The 18,354-nt window shown below is 37.5% G+C and overlaps 1 long non-coding RNA gene across 1 annotated transcript in view; it reads left to right on the top strand.

The window, feature by feature from the left end:
- The first annotated feature begins 1,067 nt into the window (after window positions 1–1,067).
- Window positions 1,068–18,354, top strand: part of LINC01208 (long intergenic non-protein coding RNA 1208) — a 31,385-nt gene continuing 14,098 nt past the window's right edge. Inside the window, exons 1-2 of the long non-coding RNA NR_109968.1 lie at window positions 1,068–1,159; window positions 2,065–2,255. This is a non-coding gene — a long non-coding RNA (long intergenic non-protein coding RNA 1208). The remainder of the gene's footprint in view (window positions 1,160–2,064; window positions 2,256–18,354) is intronic.

The following is an 18,354-nucleotide window of genomic DNA, read 5'->3' as shown; positions in this document are numbered from 1 at the left end:
GTTTGCTTCTTTCCCTAAAAATCCTTAAATGTTTGGCACTCATAAACATTTAACTTGAGTTTTCAGCATTCAATTCACTCGTACATCCAACACTATTTGATTGTCTGCTGGGTGCCAGTCATGGGGCTAAGCTCTGCAGGTACAAGGCTGAGTAGGACTCTGACCACATTCTCAGTATAAGAGGGAAATAAACGTGATGGAAATAAATGTTATGGAATGAAATAATGGATGATCATTAAGACACCCCAAATTTTGGCACTGAAAATGATGATTCCATCTATGTTAATAAAGGTATAAAACAATTATAATACATTTCTACCTTATCTCTTCCAATTTGGTTCCTAAATTTTCTAACTCTATGTCCATGGATGATTATGACAACTCAGTTTTTTTTTTTCTGAAAACTATGATGCATATATAAACTCAGGCTCCTAACTCAAGAGTAGCTTTTAAGGAATTGATTGCCATAAGCAATCAATTGAATGTAAACTTATGTCATTGAAGAATGCGTATGGGTGGAAAGGTTGTACTAGCAAAATCTAATGAGGAAAATGATGTATTAGAAATACAGAAGAGTGATGGCTTGTTCTGAGTATGCCTGTTAGGTTGAAATAAATTATCTTCTGTTATAATCTCAATATCCTTCAGTAAGAGTAATTCTGAAAATGTATGTTGGTGCCAAAGCAACATCACTGTGTATTCTTTATGATAATATGTTTTTAAAGTAATAATCAGAAGACCATGAAACTCTTTAAACACATGTTAGAATTAGGGAGTGGTGAGAAATCTAAATTAGGCTGTTGGAATATTGCAGTATTCCTACCGGATAATAGAAAGTCCATAGGCAATTATATGAAGAGACAATTCTTGAAAAACAGAGTCGTGATTTTTTTCTTGGCATACACTTTCTAATTAGTTTTACTTTAGCACCTTTCTTTTTTAGAGTTTGCCAAAATGTACTATCTTTTATTTACAGCTTTTGGTCCCAGGATTATTCAACCTAGCTCATAAAAGAAAACAATATTGCATTTCTAAGTATTGGCTCCTAGAATTGGCAAGTTTAGTCAAGAAAAGCTGGAATGCCGTTAAAACAACACCCTGTCATCTTTCAATCAGTCCTTAGCTGAAGTTAAAATCCCACTCATTCTGCATGATCCAGGTAAAGATCTTCTTCCTTAAGGCACTTTACTGCTTCAGGCCTCAGTGGTTTGCTTCTTTCCCTAAAAATCCTTAAATGTTTGGCACCCATAAACATTAACTTGAGTTTTCAGCATTCAATTCACTCATTCATCCAACACTATTTGATTGTCTGCTGGGTGCCAGTCGTGGGGCTAAGCTCTGCAGGTACAAGGATGAATAGGACTCTGACCACATTCTCAGTATAAGAGGGAAATAAACGTGAAAAGCAATAGTTATAGTACACTCTGATAAGCACTGTCATAAAACTTGGAAGATTATCACACATTGACAATTATAAAATTATGGAGATGTGTTCTCTCTTTAGCTGTTAATGCTTTATGCTTTGTCTCCCTGTATTACCATGCTGATCTTTTCATAATGCCTGTTCTTAAGTAAGTCTTCTTGATAAAATGTTTTTCTCTTACTGTGCTCTTCTCTTATTTTTTCCCCATTCTTTCCGTTTCTTACTGTGAACAGTGAGAAGGCATTTCTTCTCAGTTAGCCCAGTACTACTACTTTGAGTTAGTAGAGGGTAGTGGTTAAAAAATCAGGCTCAGGGTAGGGATTACCTGCATTTGAATCTAGGTCCAGCCACTGGATAGCTTTTTAACATAGGCAAGTTATGCAAACTCACAGTGCCCAAATTTCCTCATCTGCAGAATGATGAGGAATAGCACCTATTCCATAGAGTTCTTGTTAGGATGAAATGAGATACTGTGTGTAAAGTTCTTGGCATATAATAAGCACTGTGCAAATAGTGGTATTATTATTTGACAGCAGAACAGAGGCCAGCCATTTCTTCAGTTTATAATTTAGGGCCAAATAGAATGCTATTAATAAGAAATTTATTGTTTTTATTTTTGATTGCACATGACTGCTGGGAAGCCTCTGTAGCATAGAGTGAGTAGCCCCTTAACAAGAACCAAAATGGAGGGTACGGATGAGGCTCAGATCGTCACCACCTGGAGAATAGAGACAGTGACTGAGTCACCAGGAAATCTGTCCCCTGCTCATCCCAGAATCCCCGAGCTTTGACTTTTTAAGAGAACATGTGACAGATAATGCCATCTGAGAAGGTAAGCAGCAGATCTTCTAAGTGGTAGAATTGAGATTTGAATCTTTGGCTTTCTGACTTTACAACATGGTTTTTTTCCCTCTATAATAAACTGTGTTCCCAATTGGACAAGGATCCAACGAATGAGTACGTAGGAAAGGGACTTGTACAAGAGATGCTGTGATAAAGTGGTTTTAGCAAGAATTGGGAGCAGACATGGAAGTGTGGGATGTCATCTGTTGCCTAGGGCAATGACGATGTAGAACAGGGACGATATTTCTTAGTGCTGCTGCCATATGCTTAGATACACCCTAAGCTTTGTTGGTATGAAGTAGTCTGTAAGATGATTGGTTGTTGGTGAAACCACAATCAGTATTTGCCTTTAAATTATACCGTGCTGGTATTCAATATTTACTCTGCTGGAGTGTCATATAGATTTGCTTTTTCCTCTCAATGTTGTGGCACTATATTGCCTTAAATTCTAATACATTATTAGTGTTTTAAAAGAGCATGTATTTTATATTCATATTAATGAAATTCTGATATTGTTAAGGATCACACAAGGGTGTCAAGACAAGACAGAATTCATACAATGCACTTCCTACAGTGCTCTTGGCCAAAGGGCTCTCTCCACTGGCAGGACCTTGTTACAACAGCCCCACCTTCCTGCATTCCCACAGCCTGGACCCTGAGGGCTGCATGGAGCCAGGCTCCTGTACGGCATGGGTTTGGGGAAGAAGCCAGACAGGGTTCTTAGCAGGAATATAAATTGTGTGAGGAGTCATAAAAAGTAGAAAAGGAATGTGTTGTTCGGTAGTTAAAGATGTGCTGGGGCCTTGGTTTAACTATTTTAAACCCTTGGAAGGATTTGGAAAATGAATTGAGAGCTGGTTTGTTATTTTTGCCCTCATGGGTCTTTCTTTGTATGTCTTTTTAACAGGCACAACGGGTTTAGAAATCCTTTCTCTAATGATGTTTACTTCTTTTCTACTTGGGAAACATTCTAAGGCTCACAGTGGTACTTGTGGCACCCCAGCACATCTCCCCACCTCTTATCCCCCATCCCTCCCAATCTAAAAAGAAAGAAAGGAAAAGCTACTGACCGCACCTGAAGCTTTGTCAAAACTCTTTGGCACAATTCAGTGCCTGCAAATGTTACAGGAGGGTGTGCAGATAGATGCAAAGGGGCGTTAGTCAAATCAAGAGAATGCTATTCAACCGAGACTCATTTCCAGCTCTCTGTTGTGTAGTTGCCTTGAGAATAATTATGTGCAAGGAAGCACTGCTTGGATCGTATGGTGACCTGGCTAGGGGAAGAAGATTCTAGGAATAAACAGCAGCTAAGCAGCAACAGCGCTTGCCGTCTGTTTAAATAATGCTCTGTAAAATCTTCAGGTAGCCTGTCTAAACCCTGGGATTTTATTTTCTTCAGGGCTACTAACCACCTCTCTGTGCTACCAAACTGTACAGAAGAAGCCTTTGCATTTTATCTTTTAAAAACCTGCTTCTCACCCCTCCCTAAATACAACTACCATCACGGTTTTTCATGATTGTCTCTGACTCTTTTAACATTTGCATGTGATTAGTTTTCTTTCATTATTTACTAGCCTTGAATGAATCTGTAGTCTTTTATATTTTATAGATATTATATAAAATACATCATATTTGTTTCATAAAGATCTTGTTTTTCAACACTAATGACTGTAGATGCCTAGTTTTTGCAGCATGCTAAATCTTAATCTCAATTTTGTATTTTCTGATTAAAATCATCTCCTTAAAAAAATCAATAAAAGAGAGAAAGAACACTTTTTTTTTCCAGGTGCTCTCAGGTTGATCTTGTACAGTAGGAAGGTACAAGTGTTCACATATATGTGTCCAATCTAGAAAAATTTATTACACATTCTGATTCTGAGTGAAAATACAGAATTACTATCTTTAACTTTCAGGAAGCAAGGACCATAGTAGCACTTTTTTTTTTTTTTTTTTTTGCTAATGGAAAATATCCATTATTCCATAATTTTTGGAGCCTCCTGCTGAATTTGGTGGAGCATGAATAGAGCTCTGCTTTTATCTTTCATGGTGCTTGAATCTTTGCTCTCTTTCTTGGCTTTGGAGAAATGTACAGTTGTTTTTTCCTTCTTCTTTTCTCAGTCCTTCTCTGAAATTCTTGGATGGCTTGTCTGCCTCTGTTCACTGTTTTATGGCTTTAGAGATCAATTTTATATGTCCTGCCCTGACATCTCTCATGAGCTCCAGGTCTACATTTTCACATACCTGGTTTAATTTCCACCTTAGACTTGGCCTGTCTAACACTGACTGAGCTCACATCTTCCTCAATCCATCTTTTAGCACATTTGTGCCAAAGTTGTTTGCTGCCTCCTTTAGTCAGGCTCCAGAGGGCTTTACTAAGATTTCTATCATTTATCTTGATTGTGCCTGATTTAAAAAATCATTTAAATAATAAACTAATCTTACTTTTAATTCTAAATCTTCCTGGGTGGGTTTGAATTCAAAAGTTTATTTTGTTTATTCAAAATCCACTGTCTAAAAATTTTCGCTTGTGTTGAAGTTTTATGAAAAACTGCAAAGTATGAAAAAACTTAAAAATATGTACTTTCTACATGCTTAAAAGGGTCTTAGAAGTCATTTGATAAAATTTCTCATTACGTAGATGAAGAATTCATTGTAGACTGTAGTGAGTTGGGTTTCTAGGCCCTTGGTGAAGCTTTTCTTCTAGTGAATATAATAAGAAAAGTATGGTTGTTAATGAATTACAAATTCCACATCTCTGTGTACATTCATGTTTATTTCTTCATTCATAACATTTTGAATCTTCAGACCTATAAGAGGAGCATCTTATGGGAATTATATGCTTTATATTTGCAAAAGTCAATTTCTAAAAGTCTGACCTGAGTTTAACATAACTTGAGTATATTGCGTTCATTCAGAGAACATGTGTCTTTGGGCCTCATCACATGTTGTTTCTTGTGTAGAGTCACTGCCTCTGACCTGTCACATGGTCAGTCTCAAATCATTAGCCAAGTCCAAGTTTTGCAATAACCAACCCATGAATAATGACACAATAATGGGAATTTAGCAGCAACATAAATTATTTTAGATTTAGCAAATCACATGTTATGAACACATTAAAAAAAGAAATGCTGTTCCACTTTTAGAATGACTTTATTATGTGATGAGAATGTGGGCACTGCTAACTTCTAGAAGTAAGGAAAGTACACTTAGATATGGGCATAATTTTTGGTGAGCTGAAATTCCTGTCTGCAAACTAATAAAATTGATTCATTTCTCTAAATGATCATCTCTAAATAGATCTATACAATACTAAGTACCTACTGGCTTATATGGCTGTAGTTCCTCATAGTTATTTGAAATGAGCCTGTGGTGATGGTTTGAGGCTAATATAATTATTTTCTTCCACTGTGGGCAAGGTATAAATCCTCCAGGACTTCTGAAATGCACTTTCATACCCCTTTCAGGAAGGTAAAATGATTGCTTTATCAAATCCATGTCCGTAGGAATTGTATTTCTATGTATGCTATTTGATCTTATTAGATCAAATAGCACTTTCTATGGATCAACTTGTCTCAGTCTTGATTTCTTTTAAGAGGAAGGAGTTATAAAGACTACAGTGGGGATATTTCACTTGGTTTGCACACTATTGGTAAAGGATAAATGTTAAAAGAGGATATAATCATGACTTATACAAATGAAATAGATACATGTCAAAAATTTTATTTCACTCACTGATTAGTGAAGGAACTGGAAAAGTTGTTAAAACTGGTTGCTACAAAGGAGAATTTTGACAGCCAACTAATACACAAGCTCATCAGAAAGGCTGATTTAAATTTGCTTAGTAGATGCAAAACTACCTTCTTCAACAGTGGGAGAGGGAAGTCAACTGAATTTCCACTGGACAGAGTTTATTTGCATGCCTCTAACCAAGAATTATTTGCATTGCTATCAGTTTTCTGCAGGTTAATGTCTACCTTTACAGAATTATAAAATAGCTGAAGACAATGAAAAGCACAAACTTCACAAAATTAGATAACCTTGGGTGTACTCTAAACAATGCATTGTTTTGCATTAATGACACCCTTAGTCTTTTGGTCTACTTCATTAGCTTTCCCAGTTTTTCCCTACAGAGTGCCCTCTTCTTTTGGCTTTAATTTTTTCAATGGTTTTGGGGAAGGTAATACCCAATTTATGTTTCAGAATAATTTTTATTATCTCTGCTTAAGCCTTTTCTTCTCTTTTCTTCAAGTCCAGCTTAGGCAACTCAGTCATCAATGTGTCCTCGAGAAGAGCATATCCCCAAATTGGAAAATAATCCTTCAGGGCATCTGAACATAACCACATTTGGCTTACTTTGTGAAGCAGTTGTCTGAATAGAATAAGACTGGCTTGGAACGAGGCGAGTGTTAGACATTTTAAAATGCATTTTAAGAAAAATTAATTCTGGGTCTTTCTGCTTACCATATTTGTTTGCTATGTATTTTTTTTGTTTTGTTTTTTGAGACAGGGTCTTGCTCTGTCACTCAGGCTGGAGCGCAGTGGCACAATCATGGCTTACTGCAGCCTCTACCTCCCGGGCTCAAGCAATCCTCCCACTTCAGTTTCTTGAGTAGCTGGGACTACAAGTGTGTGCCACCACACCAAGCTAATTTTTTACTTTTTTGCAAAGATAGGGGTCTCACTATGTTGCCCAAGCTGGACTTGAACACCTAGGCTCAAGCAATCTTCCCACCTTGATCTCCCGAAGTGTTGGGATTATAGCATGAACCACCATAGCCACCATACACTGCTATGCATTTTAGAGTAGTTAATACAATTGTGACAAATTACAGTGGGAGGTAAATCAATTAATATTGTAAAACATTAGCAAAAATTTAAGGTCGTATGGTCTAAGCATCTAAACAATTCTATTGTTACTTCACTAATGAATTAATTCATTTATTCACTAGATCAGAAGCTCAGTAAAGGCAATAACTTCATCTATTTTGTTCCCTATTGCCTCCCCAAAGCCTTGCACAGTGTTGGAGGAATAGTATATTTGTGATATACATTTATCCAGTGAAATTTTAAGAGTAATTTATTAACCACCTACTCTTTGTCTGACACTATGATAGGGCTGGGGATTAAAAATAAATATATAATATGCATTATGATTAATATTTTAGAAAAGTTCATCATCTTTTATTGGATCTTTTCCCCAAAGGAATTTGTCCTTGATGAGAGAATTTTAGGCATTATGGCAGACTAACTGGAGAACAGTCTGAGTTTTCCCCAAATCACACCATATAGGCAAGTTTCTTTTGAATGTGTGGTTAATATTATCTCTAGGTGGGATCTCCTCAAGCAGTATGCTTGGTGTCACCCACAGAGGGACATTGGAGGTTGCTGAGATATATACCACTGGCTTCAATAGCTGCAGTTCTTCAAGTTCTCCTAGCAACCCTTCACCATGTTTCTGAGCCTAATCAGAGATTCTTCCTCTTATAGCAGCCTAGGAAGAATAGTCACCACTACCGATTAGTATGTGCCAGAATCTAGGCTAAGTACTTTGTAACTTTTATCTTATTTAATCCTTATACCTACCATATGGAGTAGGTGAGAAGTTAAGGATTATGATTTCAATAATGCAGCTAGTGAGTGGCAGGGATAGGACAGGATTTGAGGTCTGCCTGAAGTCAAAGACCATACACTTTGAACTGTGTAGCCTCAATATCTAGAACTGATGTGGTGAGAATATGGCTGAGTCTATGTTGAGTGTTTTTGGGTCTGCATGAGTGGAAGTGGGAGAAGCAGGAATTTTTTTCCTTCATTCATGATGCAATAAAGAAAAAATGTGCATTATCCATTTTTGCTCTGCTGTAGACTTCTCTCCGTCTAGGCTCCTGTACAATGAAAAATTGCACAGTGACTCTGACAATTGAATCAATACTTCTATTAGCTGCAACATGCAATTTGAAGGTTCAGAAGGTGATTGAATTATGTTTTGTGGAATTATTATCCTCCATTGGTAGAGCATGTGCTGCCATAGAGGGACTGAGTTTTTCAAATGTGTCTAGACCCCAGAGAGGTCAGCCTTTCATACAATGGCATTTCGACCCTCTCTTCCACCCTCAGCCTGAAGAGTTCTGAAATAGGTGCTGTCTGCCCATAAGTCATCCTTCAAACCTTTGTATTTACAGGACAGCTTGGCATTTTTCTTCTCTTCATCTTTCAAAATTTCTAATACCCTTAACATTTGATTTTTTCCCTCAGAATTTTCTTCTCCTAAAATGTCTACATTTTGGCTTCCTTTAGTTTCGTTTCCAATTTTGAACTCAGTGTGCTCCTCTGAAATCATTTTCCTCCTTCTAATTAACCTGACTCCATTACACACACATTCCCTATTCTTAGCTTCATTGTATCATCTACATAAATTGCTAAAGTTATTTCAGCTTTATCTCAAACCTCCTTTAACACCTACTCTTCAGAATTCTTGGTTTCTTGCCATTATCCCTGATTAGCCTCAAATCTCTCTCCCTTCCTTCCTTTCTTTCTTTCTTTCTTTCTTTCTTTTTCTTTCTTTCTCTTTCTTTCTCTCTTTCCTTCCTTCCTTCCTTCCTTCCTTCCTTCCTTCCTTCCTTCCTTCCTTCCTTCCTTCCTTCCTTCTTTCCTTCTTTCTTTCTCTTTCTTTCTTTCTTTCTTTCTTTCTTTCTTTCTTTCTTTCTTTCTTTCTTTCTTTTTGTTTTTTTGACGGACTCTCTCTCTGTCGCTCAGGCTGGAGTGCAGTGGCATGATCTCGGCTCACTGCAACCTCTGCCTCCTGGGTTCAAGCAATTCTCCTTGCCTCGGCCTCCCGAGTACCTGGGATTACAGGCACATGCCACCATCCCAGGCTAATTTTTGTATTTTTTTAGTAGAGACAGGGTTTCACCATGTTGGCCAGGCTGGTCTCGAATTCCTGACCTTGTGATCCACCTGCCTCAGCCTCCCAAAGTGCTGGGATTACAGGTGTGAGCCACCGCACCCCCAAATTCTTTTGATTGTCTCTTTCTAATGTCCCACTAATGTGAACTGAGAGAAAAAAAAAAGAATGTATGGAAAGCTAGAATAAATTCTATAAAGATTTATAAAGTCTATAAAGATTTATTTAGTTTTTAAAAACAGACTGTACCCAACTTCGTTGGTCTAAGTTCTAAAAGGTACCTTTGGGGTAAAAAATAACTACATAGCATATTATAGCAAAATAACTGTTTTAAGAGTTTAACTTTCAATTTTTATTTGATCTGTGACTATTTCAGTGCAATAGTTTATGTATGCTCCTTTTGTTTTAACTTTTTATTGTAGAAAATTTCAAAAATATACAAAAATAGGATAGTATTAACTGCCATGTAGCTGTCACTTAGTTTTAACTATTTATAACTCATGACCAATCTCATTCTATTTACTTCCTCCTTCCCCTTGAAGTGTTTGGAAACAAATTCCAGACATCATATCATTTTATATAAGTATTTCAGTATGTATTGCTAAGGAAAAGCAGCACTTTGGGAAAAATCATAACTACAACTAAACATTTTCTTAAAGATCATCAAGTAATAGCCAATGTTCTAATGTCCTTGTCTCACTTATTTTACAGTTTGTTTGCTTCAAAATCAAGTTCATGAATTGGATTTGTTGCTATTATTTTGTGTCTTTTTAATATGTAGACTCTCACTCATCTCTTTATTGCCATCAATTTATTTATTGTAGAAACCAAATTATTTGCTTTATGGTGTTTCCAACAGATTGGATTTTGTTGATTGTATTCCTGCGGTGTGTTAAATGTATTGCTTTAGCATTTATATTTTCTCTAAATTGGTGATCTGATTCAGATTACCTTAACTAGATTCAGGTTTGACTTCTTGGGAAGGTTACTTCATAGGCAGTATTGTGTACTTTTGTCAGGAGGTAGCACAATGCCTGGTTGTCTCTCTTTTTATGATGTTAGTGACCATTGATTTTCACATCCTAGATTCACAGAGCAACCAAATAAAGATGATTGAGTGAATGGCTAAAGAAATAAATATGTTCGAATCTGTACCCATCTCATGTCTTTCCTGATGTAAGTATAGAAATTACGATTATTTAAAGATCATAATAAATTTTACCTCCTCCAAATAAATATCATTTTATTTGATAAAATTTCCAAGGACCTAGAGAATTTAGGATTGTTGTCTTGTCCAATGAGACCTTGGAATATTTGTTTGGAGTCACTGTGGAAGGTATATGCACATACTTTAGAAAGCTGAGGAGCAAGCTGGCATTCTCTAGAAAAGATTAAAGAACATGGCTAGATATATACTTTTTTAGGTGAGGGAGGTAAGTGGTCTGGGCATTATTATCATTGGTGAGAATGAGTGGGGGAGGTGGGAAAGTTTGTCATTTTATTTTGTACCTATTGTTTGAACTTTCCCCATGATTATTTAGATGGGATCATGTTCATTTCAATTTTCTTCCTTGTATTTATATAGTTAAAAACGTAGTAAATGCTAAAATGAATGAATGAGGAATTAAATTAAATTAAGAAGCTTTTTGAGACACTTGTCTGGATAAAGATGCTTCCCATTCTTTTATTTTTTGAGATGGAGTCTTGCTGTCGCCCAGGCTGGAGTGCAGTGGCACCATCTCAGCTCACTGCAAGCTCCACCTCCTGGGTTCACGCCATTCTCCTGCCTCAGCCTCCCAGGTAGCTGGGACTACAGGCGCCCACCACCACGCCAGGCTAATTTTTTGTATTTTTAGTAGAGACGGGGTTTCACTGTGTTAGCCAGGATGATCTCGATCTCCTGACCTCGTGATCCGCCCGCCTCGGCCTCCCAAAGTGCTGGGATTACAGGCGTGAGCCACTGCGCCCGGCCGATGCTTCTCATTCTTAAGGCACTTACCTGGTTGGAGAGAAAAAACAAAACTAGGACATAGCATTTATGTTTATCAGCACACTTAACTGCACGTATACTAGGCACTGGGGGGTTACAAGAGAAAACATCATATTTCTTTTTAAGATTTCCCGTAGGGCTTTCATCAACTCTACTGTGTAGGAGAAGCGATCTATCATCAGGCCTCTGCCTATGCCCCCGAGCACATCACCTACAGGCTCTCAAAGTCCCAGGGTCTCAACTGGCTTCGTGTAAGCCTCTGTACCAGCTGCCTTGCACCCTAACCTAACTTGAAGGCATCATGCCCCAGGCTGCTTCTCTCCCACTGCAATTCTCGTCTGCACTGCTCTCTTCGCTTTGTACAACTCCAGACTCCCTGGAACCTCTGAACATTGCTTTTTACCTCTTGTTTTAATTAAACCAGTTCCCCCAGTGGCATGGCTCTCCTTTTTGGTCTTCTTAAGGGACAGGTTGATTTTACTTCTTTGGCCAAATTCCTCTTAAGAGGCTTGAGGTGCCTTCAAACTATAAACTTATACATGATAATTTTTCTTCTCTCTTAGAAAAAAGATAAATTTATAATGGCTCTGTTAACTAGGGTTTTTAATAAGCTACACCAATATTTGTGTGTACCCTTTTCCTGGAAGATATATTTTACTTACAGAAAAGAATGAAGTATGTATTTTCAAATTTTTTGTAAGAATTTTCCAGCCCCACGTCATTCTGGTTGGAGGTTTAATGTGGGACCTGACCGGTGAGCCCACTTCAAATAAAGTAGGGAGCTATGACTCCCCTTACTGCAGACAAGAATGTCCCAGGAGAAGAAAGGGACAAGGACCAGTACAGCTCTTAAAGCTGGTGGAACCCATCCTCAGTACCACTCTCCACAGGCCACTGGGTTGGGAAAAAAAGTCTAGATCTGCTCAGACAGCTGAAAAGAAAAAGGAGAAAAAGAAACCTAACAAGCCGAGTGCTAAAATCGATGTGCCCAATGTGAGAAAACAATAAAAAAGGTGCATCCCTTGTGAATGTGTTTAGTTTCCAATAACAGAAAGTCCACCTGAAAGACTGACATAAGTAGGCATTTATTCTGCTCATAAAACAAAACATCCAGAGGTGAGATTTTTCTGGTATCAGTTCAGTTGCTCAAGTTATCATCAGAGATCAGATTGCTTTCTCCTCTTTTGTTCTGCTGCCTTACTTTGTTGATCATATATATATATATATATATGTTTGCTGCATCTTTATCACAAGATGTGCCAGATATTTTGTCCACCTTGACAGAAGAAAGAGGAAACACATCCAATCATTCTCAACCTCTCTCTTCAGGAAGACAAAAGTCACCAACTTCCTTAAGCAAATATTGGTTTATGCCTCATTGGCTCACGCTGCATTCTCTCGGCACCCTCAAATGTAAGAGAAGCTAGGAGGCCAGGGATCAGTCATTGTCTCACCTGAGACTGGATGTGTGGCACATTAGGCAGCGATCTGTCAGCAAGGAACAAGCTGTGAAGCGGGGGTGGCAGGTGGAATTACAGGTAGGCAACCATGAAGGACAGCAGAATCACTTTGTTTGACTGATCCCTAGGCCTTTTGGAATCCTAGAGTGTCTGTCCTCACTACTTGTTTTAAAAAATCTCAAATGAAGCTCAGACTGGAGTATGAAGTCACTGATTTTCACATGTGCCTAAGATTATTTGACACTGAGGATTTTGGGGATATGTGAAAAGCAAATCCTAGGTCCAAATAAACTCCCTTGTGCTGAGCTGGGAGGTGCCTTTTCCTGGGAACTGTGGAGAAAGATGATGTAATGAGTTAGAGTTTACTTTTTTCTCTTTTTGGCACTGTCTATCCCAAATGCCTGTCTCTTCTTTTCATGGGAGTATGGTAGGAAAAGTAACTCATTCATTTCTTATCAATTATAACTATAAACTTTGTTTTTATATATGTGAGTTAATTTTTCTATTTTTGTCTGTGATTCTGAAGAAAAACTGTGATCTTGGAATCCTTTTCTTTATGCAAACATAAAAGAGGCTAATTTAGCTACAGTTGTGTTTATAGAGATCAAGGGTAAAAATGGTTTTGTGAGAAAGATGACTCATAACTTAATTGATAACATAAAGCACCTAAGTTTAAAACATAAAGTTATCTTATAAAGATTCTAATTGAAAGACAAATGGGTGCTAGCTAGTCCAGGAAAAGATGAAGAAGCTCATGTGAAATATTAGGTGATTGTAATCGTTATTATTTCCAAGATGCATTTCCACTAGTGGGCTAAAATATCCTATTATGAGTTCCATCCTCTGTATCAGAACATTTTAAAAGAAACCTGCCAAGATGAGGGGAAATTCCCTTTTATTTGCCAGGATCTAATTAATGAATTGGGGGTTTTGGAAAGCAGCAAGACATGCATTCAGAGATCTAAGAGATAGAAATTAGCTAAAAGATTTGTCTTCCATCCAAATTCTTCTGTAAGTTTGGAGCTAATATGATACAGTCTTTCAAAATCTAGATCATTGACAGCTAGGATGTCCAATCACAGCTGTTTTTATTTGAAATATTGAAATGTGTAGGAGTTTTTTTATGAAATATTTGAAGCAGTAAGCATACATATATTTTCTTGACTTAAATAGTAAAAAATTTTCAGAACATTATATAAGTTCATTTCTATTCCTTGTTTTGAGTCAAGTAAGTTATGTCTTGGGATAAAACAGGGCCTTGGTTGGGAACTAGGCTTGCTTGTTTTTTGTTTTGTTTTGTTTTTTGAGATGGAGTCTCCCTCTGTTGCCCAGGCTGGAGTGCAGTGGCATGATCTTGGCTCACTGCAACCTCTGCTTCCTGGGTTCAAGCAATTCTCCTGCCTCAGCCTCCCTTAGTAGCTGGGACTACAGGTGCACGCCACCATGCCCAGCTAATTTTTTTTTTTTTTTTTTTTGGATTTTTAGTAGAGACGAGGTTTCATCATGTTGGCCAAGCTGGTCTCGAACTCTTGACCTCATGTGATCCTCCTGCCTCGGCCTCCCAAAGTGCTGGGATTACAGGTGTGAGCCCCCATGCCCGGCCAGCCTTGCTCATCTTTATTGCACATTTATCTGTATACCCATATGCCTCCACCCAAGTGAAAAACCCATGCCCTTGAGACGCTTATGAGTCTGGCATACTCTCTACATCTCTGTATTGTTGTCATCCTTGAACACTCAGATGCCATTTGTTGAAGTCTTCACCAGTAAACTCACAGATGTCATGTCTATGTCCTGTCCTGTCATCATCCTGGCTCCAACTGTCTGGCCATTCAGTCCTAGAATATCAATGACTTTGACTACCTCTGCCTCATGTCTGTCAGTGTTCAGTCCACGTTCAGTCCACATATGCTTTACAACGGTTTTAGACTTTTGGGCTCCCCTCACTCTGAAATCCTCTCTTCTTGGCACCTGTGGCACTTTCTAGCTTTTTTCCCTGTTCTCTGGATGGGTCTTCTTAGTCTTTTTTTAAAGCTCCTAATTCTCCATGCCTCCCTTGAATCTTGTTCCTCAGGCTTCAATCTGTGTATTTTCCTTAGGCCAGCTCATCCTTCACATGGCTTCAATTAGCACCTGATGAAAACAAAATCTACAGCTGCAGTTCAGTACTCATCCTTGAACTCTAGGTTCCTATCAAACTTCATCCTGGGTCTCTTAATTTGGAAGTCTATTCTCAAACTCCCCATGTACCTCCTGCACTCATTGCCTTGGCCGTCCACACAGCCGTTTCCCCATTGCCCATTCTACAGCTCTGGCTCCTGTTTTCCATGTCTCAGTGTTGGCATCTGGTTGCCCAAGCTATAAATCTGGATGTTTTCTTTCACCCTTTCCTTTCCTCCTCATTTCCTCTATATAAAATCAATCCGATCCTATGAATTCTCCTTTCTAAATATATCCATAACAGCTCTCAAATGTGCTTATTACTTTCTGTTCTTCTTGCTATTATCCATTTACATGTGACTACTGCAATAGGTCTTGCTACTTTCATCCTCCCTTTTTCTACTCCAAAAAGTAATTATAACAATTAGTTTACTGCTTTTTGATAGTGCCCCAATTTTTTCTTGACCTAAATTCCTAACTCTATAATTCATTTACAACACCCTTCCTGACCTGGACCTTCACTTCCTTCCAGTCCTCTCCTTGCCAACCTCCAAGACCTGGTCCATGTTATTCTGTCTTCTTGAAACAACTTTCCATTATTCCCTCTTCCATGAAGCTTCTTCCTGAGCCTTCAAGTACCGGTCTTCTACAGACTTTTCACTTATTTGTTAGACATAATTTTCTCTGCAAAACCTCTCTTGTTGGCTCCCTGTCTGCATCTTCAGTCCCCTGCCTCTCATGCATTCTCCTGGTTATAGCACTTGTTGCTCCATAACTATTCATTGTCTTTTATCTCCATTACATCTTAAGTCCAAGTTTTTTGTTTTGTTTATCTTGTTTACCACTGCTTTCTCTTTGCTAAGAAAAGTGATTGGAACATAGTAAGTGCTCAATAAAAAGGTGAAAGAATGAACAAATTAGTAAGGAACATTGCTGAGGATTCAACTACTGAGATCTGGAGTCACGTATGTGTGTTAGAGTTCCCTCTTCATTCTTACTAGCCCTGTGATATTTGAAACATTTATTAATTCCTATAAAAATATGTTTAGTACATTTCTTGTTGTTATGCACCATTCTCATGGAATGACTATACTAATGAGCAAGTTAGGTCATGAATAAATGAAAAATAATAAATGAATTAATTTAAAAGTGATGGTAATGTGTTGGTAAAGTGCTGTGAGAAAAGTGAGATGGAGTGTGACTCTGTGGGGCAAGGGTGATGAGCAAAGGCTGAGAGGAGGTGGAATTTAGGCAGGGACGTGATGGAGGAGAAGGAACCAGCCATGTTTAGAGCTAGGGGAAAAGATTCCAGGAGGGAAGCACAGCAGCTGTGAGCTCCTCTGAGCTTTGCGCTTGTCTTCCTTCATCTGTAAATTAGCATAGTAATAATAAATGCCACATAGAATTACTTTAAAGTTCGAATCAGATCAGTCACGGAAAGCACCTGTCCCACTATCTAGTTGATAGTGAGCACAAAGCAAATGTCAGTTGGTTTTATTATGAAGAATAAAGTAGATCAAGTTGTCCTTTTTTAAAGGGGGTCTTTAGTTATGGATATTTTACTTTACATAGAGACTCAGTCTCTCTTTGCTTATACCCTAAAAAAATTATTATAGAGCACCTACTATGTGTAAGTCAGTATTCTGGCGGCTGTGGAAGGCTAAAGTATCTAGGAACTAAGGTCTGCTTTTTTACACTCTACATTTCACTTCTGTTATTTATTACTGCTTTGTCTCACCATCCAATCTAGAAGTTACCTCCCCAAACACACACACGCACACACTCAAGCACACACACATCTCTCTTTATATTTTCCCTCTATTTGGCAGCTAGAAAATTCAGTGTACATGGCTTTTCTTGGGTGATGACCTTATAAATCATTTGAATCACAGTTGGTATTTCTGAACATTTGAAATGCTCACGGCAAGGAAGCCTTCACATTTCTGAAAGAAAGGCTGTCACAAATACTGAACTTTATTGAAAAAGGAGCCAGATGCTAATAGAAAATATAAATGTTGTCCAAGAAAAGGTTTGCATTTGTATATTAGGAATATTTTTTGTACATAATAGCTACATGTGGCTACATTTCTTTTCTTCATGTGGGTGTCCACTTCCAAGGAAATGATGATTGAAATGTTAGAAATGCAAAATTAATTAACACCTTGTATAGTTCATTTGGCTCCCGCAGACTCAGTAAAGGCTTTATTTGTATATAACTGTGTCTGTTGCCTATTTTTGACAAGTTTGGACAAAATATCTGCTCGACACTATTTCTGGATTTCTGTTGCTGCTGAGAATAGCTGCAAGGATAAGAGGTAGAATGAAAAGAGAATGAAAGACTCTAAAATGTTATTGAGAAGGATTATGCTTTTATTTGTATGATTATGGGTCAATCCTGGGTTTTTATTTAAAAAGAAAATATATTTTAAGGCTAATGGCTTGTTTTGAAAAACAAAGTAAATGACATTTTAATCATAATTTTTAAAACATAAAAATTGCATCTTTAAAGATGTTTTCGTAACTTGATACCAAAGACAACCTCCTTCAATAAAGCAAGACTGATTTAAATATGACATGTGGAAAAAGGGCCCCGAAAGCTTACCTTTACTCTCTTATCCACTATTTAATTGTTCTTTTGTCTTCATCATGCTTAGTTCTTTCTCTTTAGACAAAACAGTGCCTAAACTATCCCAAACAGGAGGGATCTTATCCTTTAAACTTACATTTTGCCTGATAAAACATGTTTGCAATGTGTATAAAATAAGAACATTTTTAGTATGTAGTTGTAGGTCTGATTGGAAAACAGATTTTATCAAGTTTATAGTTTGGTGACTCTATATTAGGATATATTTCTCTGATATGAGAATGACCATTTGTTATGTGTGTATATATATATGTGTGTGCATAAATATTAATGTGTGCATATTTGTGGGCATAAATATAAATATATAAATTAATGTGGGTATATGTGTGTATGTTTAAACCTTGATGAGAATTTTTGATTACTTGTAAACTTTCTCAATTATTTTTTACATGATGTTACCATTGCATTTCCAAAGTCATAGGTTGGAAATGTTTGGGGAACAGTTGGTTTATAAAGTATCAGAATTTAATGCTGTGTCTGAGGTTAATTATTGTTGGTAATTGTCTTCAGAAATACAATATGCTGGTAAAGTTGTTTTTAGATCCTAAGAATGCTATAGAACCAAGAACAACAACTACTCTTTGTTTATTAATTTAATATTTTTTGAGCACCTATCAAGTACCACATGTTGTGCTAAGTTCCAGAGTAGCAAACTGTAGTTGCCCTGGTCTTTAGCTGCCTGTCATATCGTAATCTTTCCTATTTCTCTTGGTATCAGCACGCCCTTTCCTCACTTTTGATCCCGTTGGGGTAATAATTATGATGCCAATGTCTCCTGAGCCTGTGGTGATAGGCATTTGACTTAGGCTGGGCTAATCGTGGTACCTGACATAAATTCACAGATGTGCCTATAACTTATAGGGGAATTAATCCGTGGGACATTTGGGAAAAAAAGGTTTGCTTTCTTTTGGAGTGACTAATCTGAGTTTACAT

Source organism: Homo sapiens, chromosome 3, assembly GCF_000001405.40.
Source record: "Homo sapiens chromosome 3, GRCh38.p14 Primary Assembly".
NCBI lineage: Eukaryota > Metazoa > Chordata > Mammalia > Primates > Hominidae > Homo > Homo sapiens.
The sequence above is the reverse complement of the archived record's forward strand: the minus strand, read 5'-3'. Positions and strand labels throughout refer to the sequence as shown.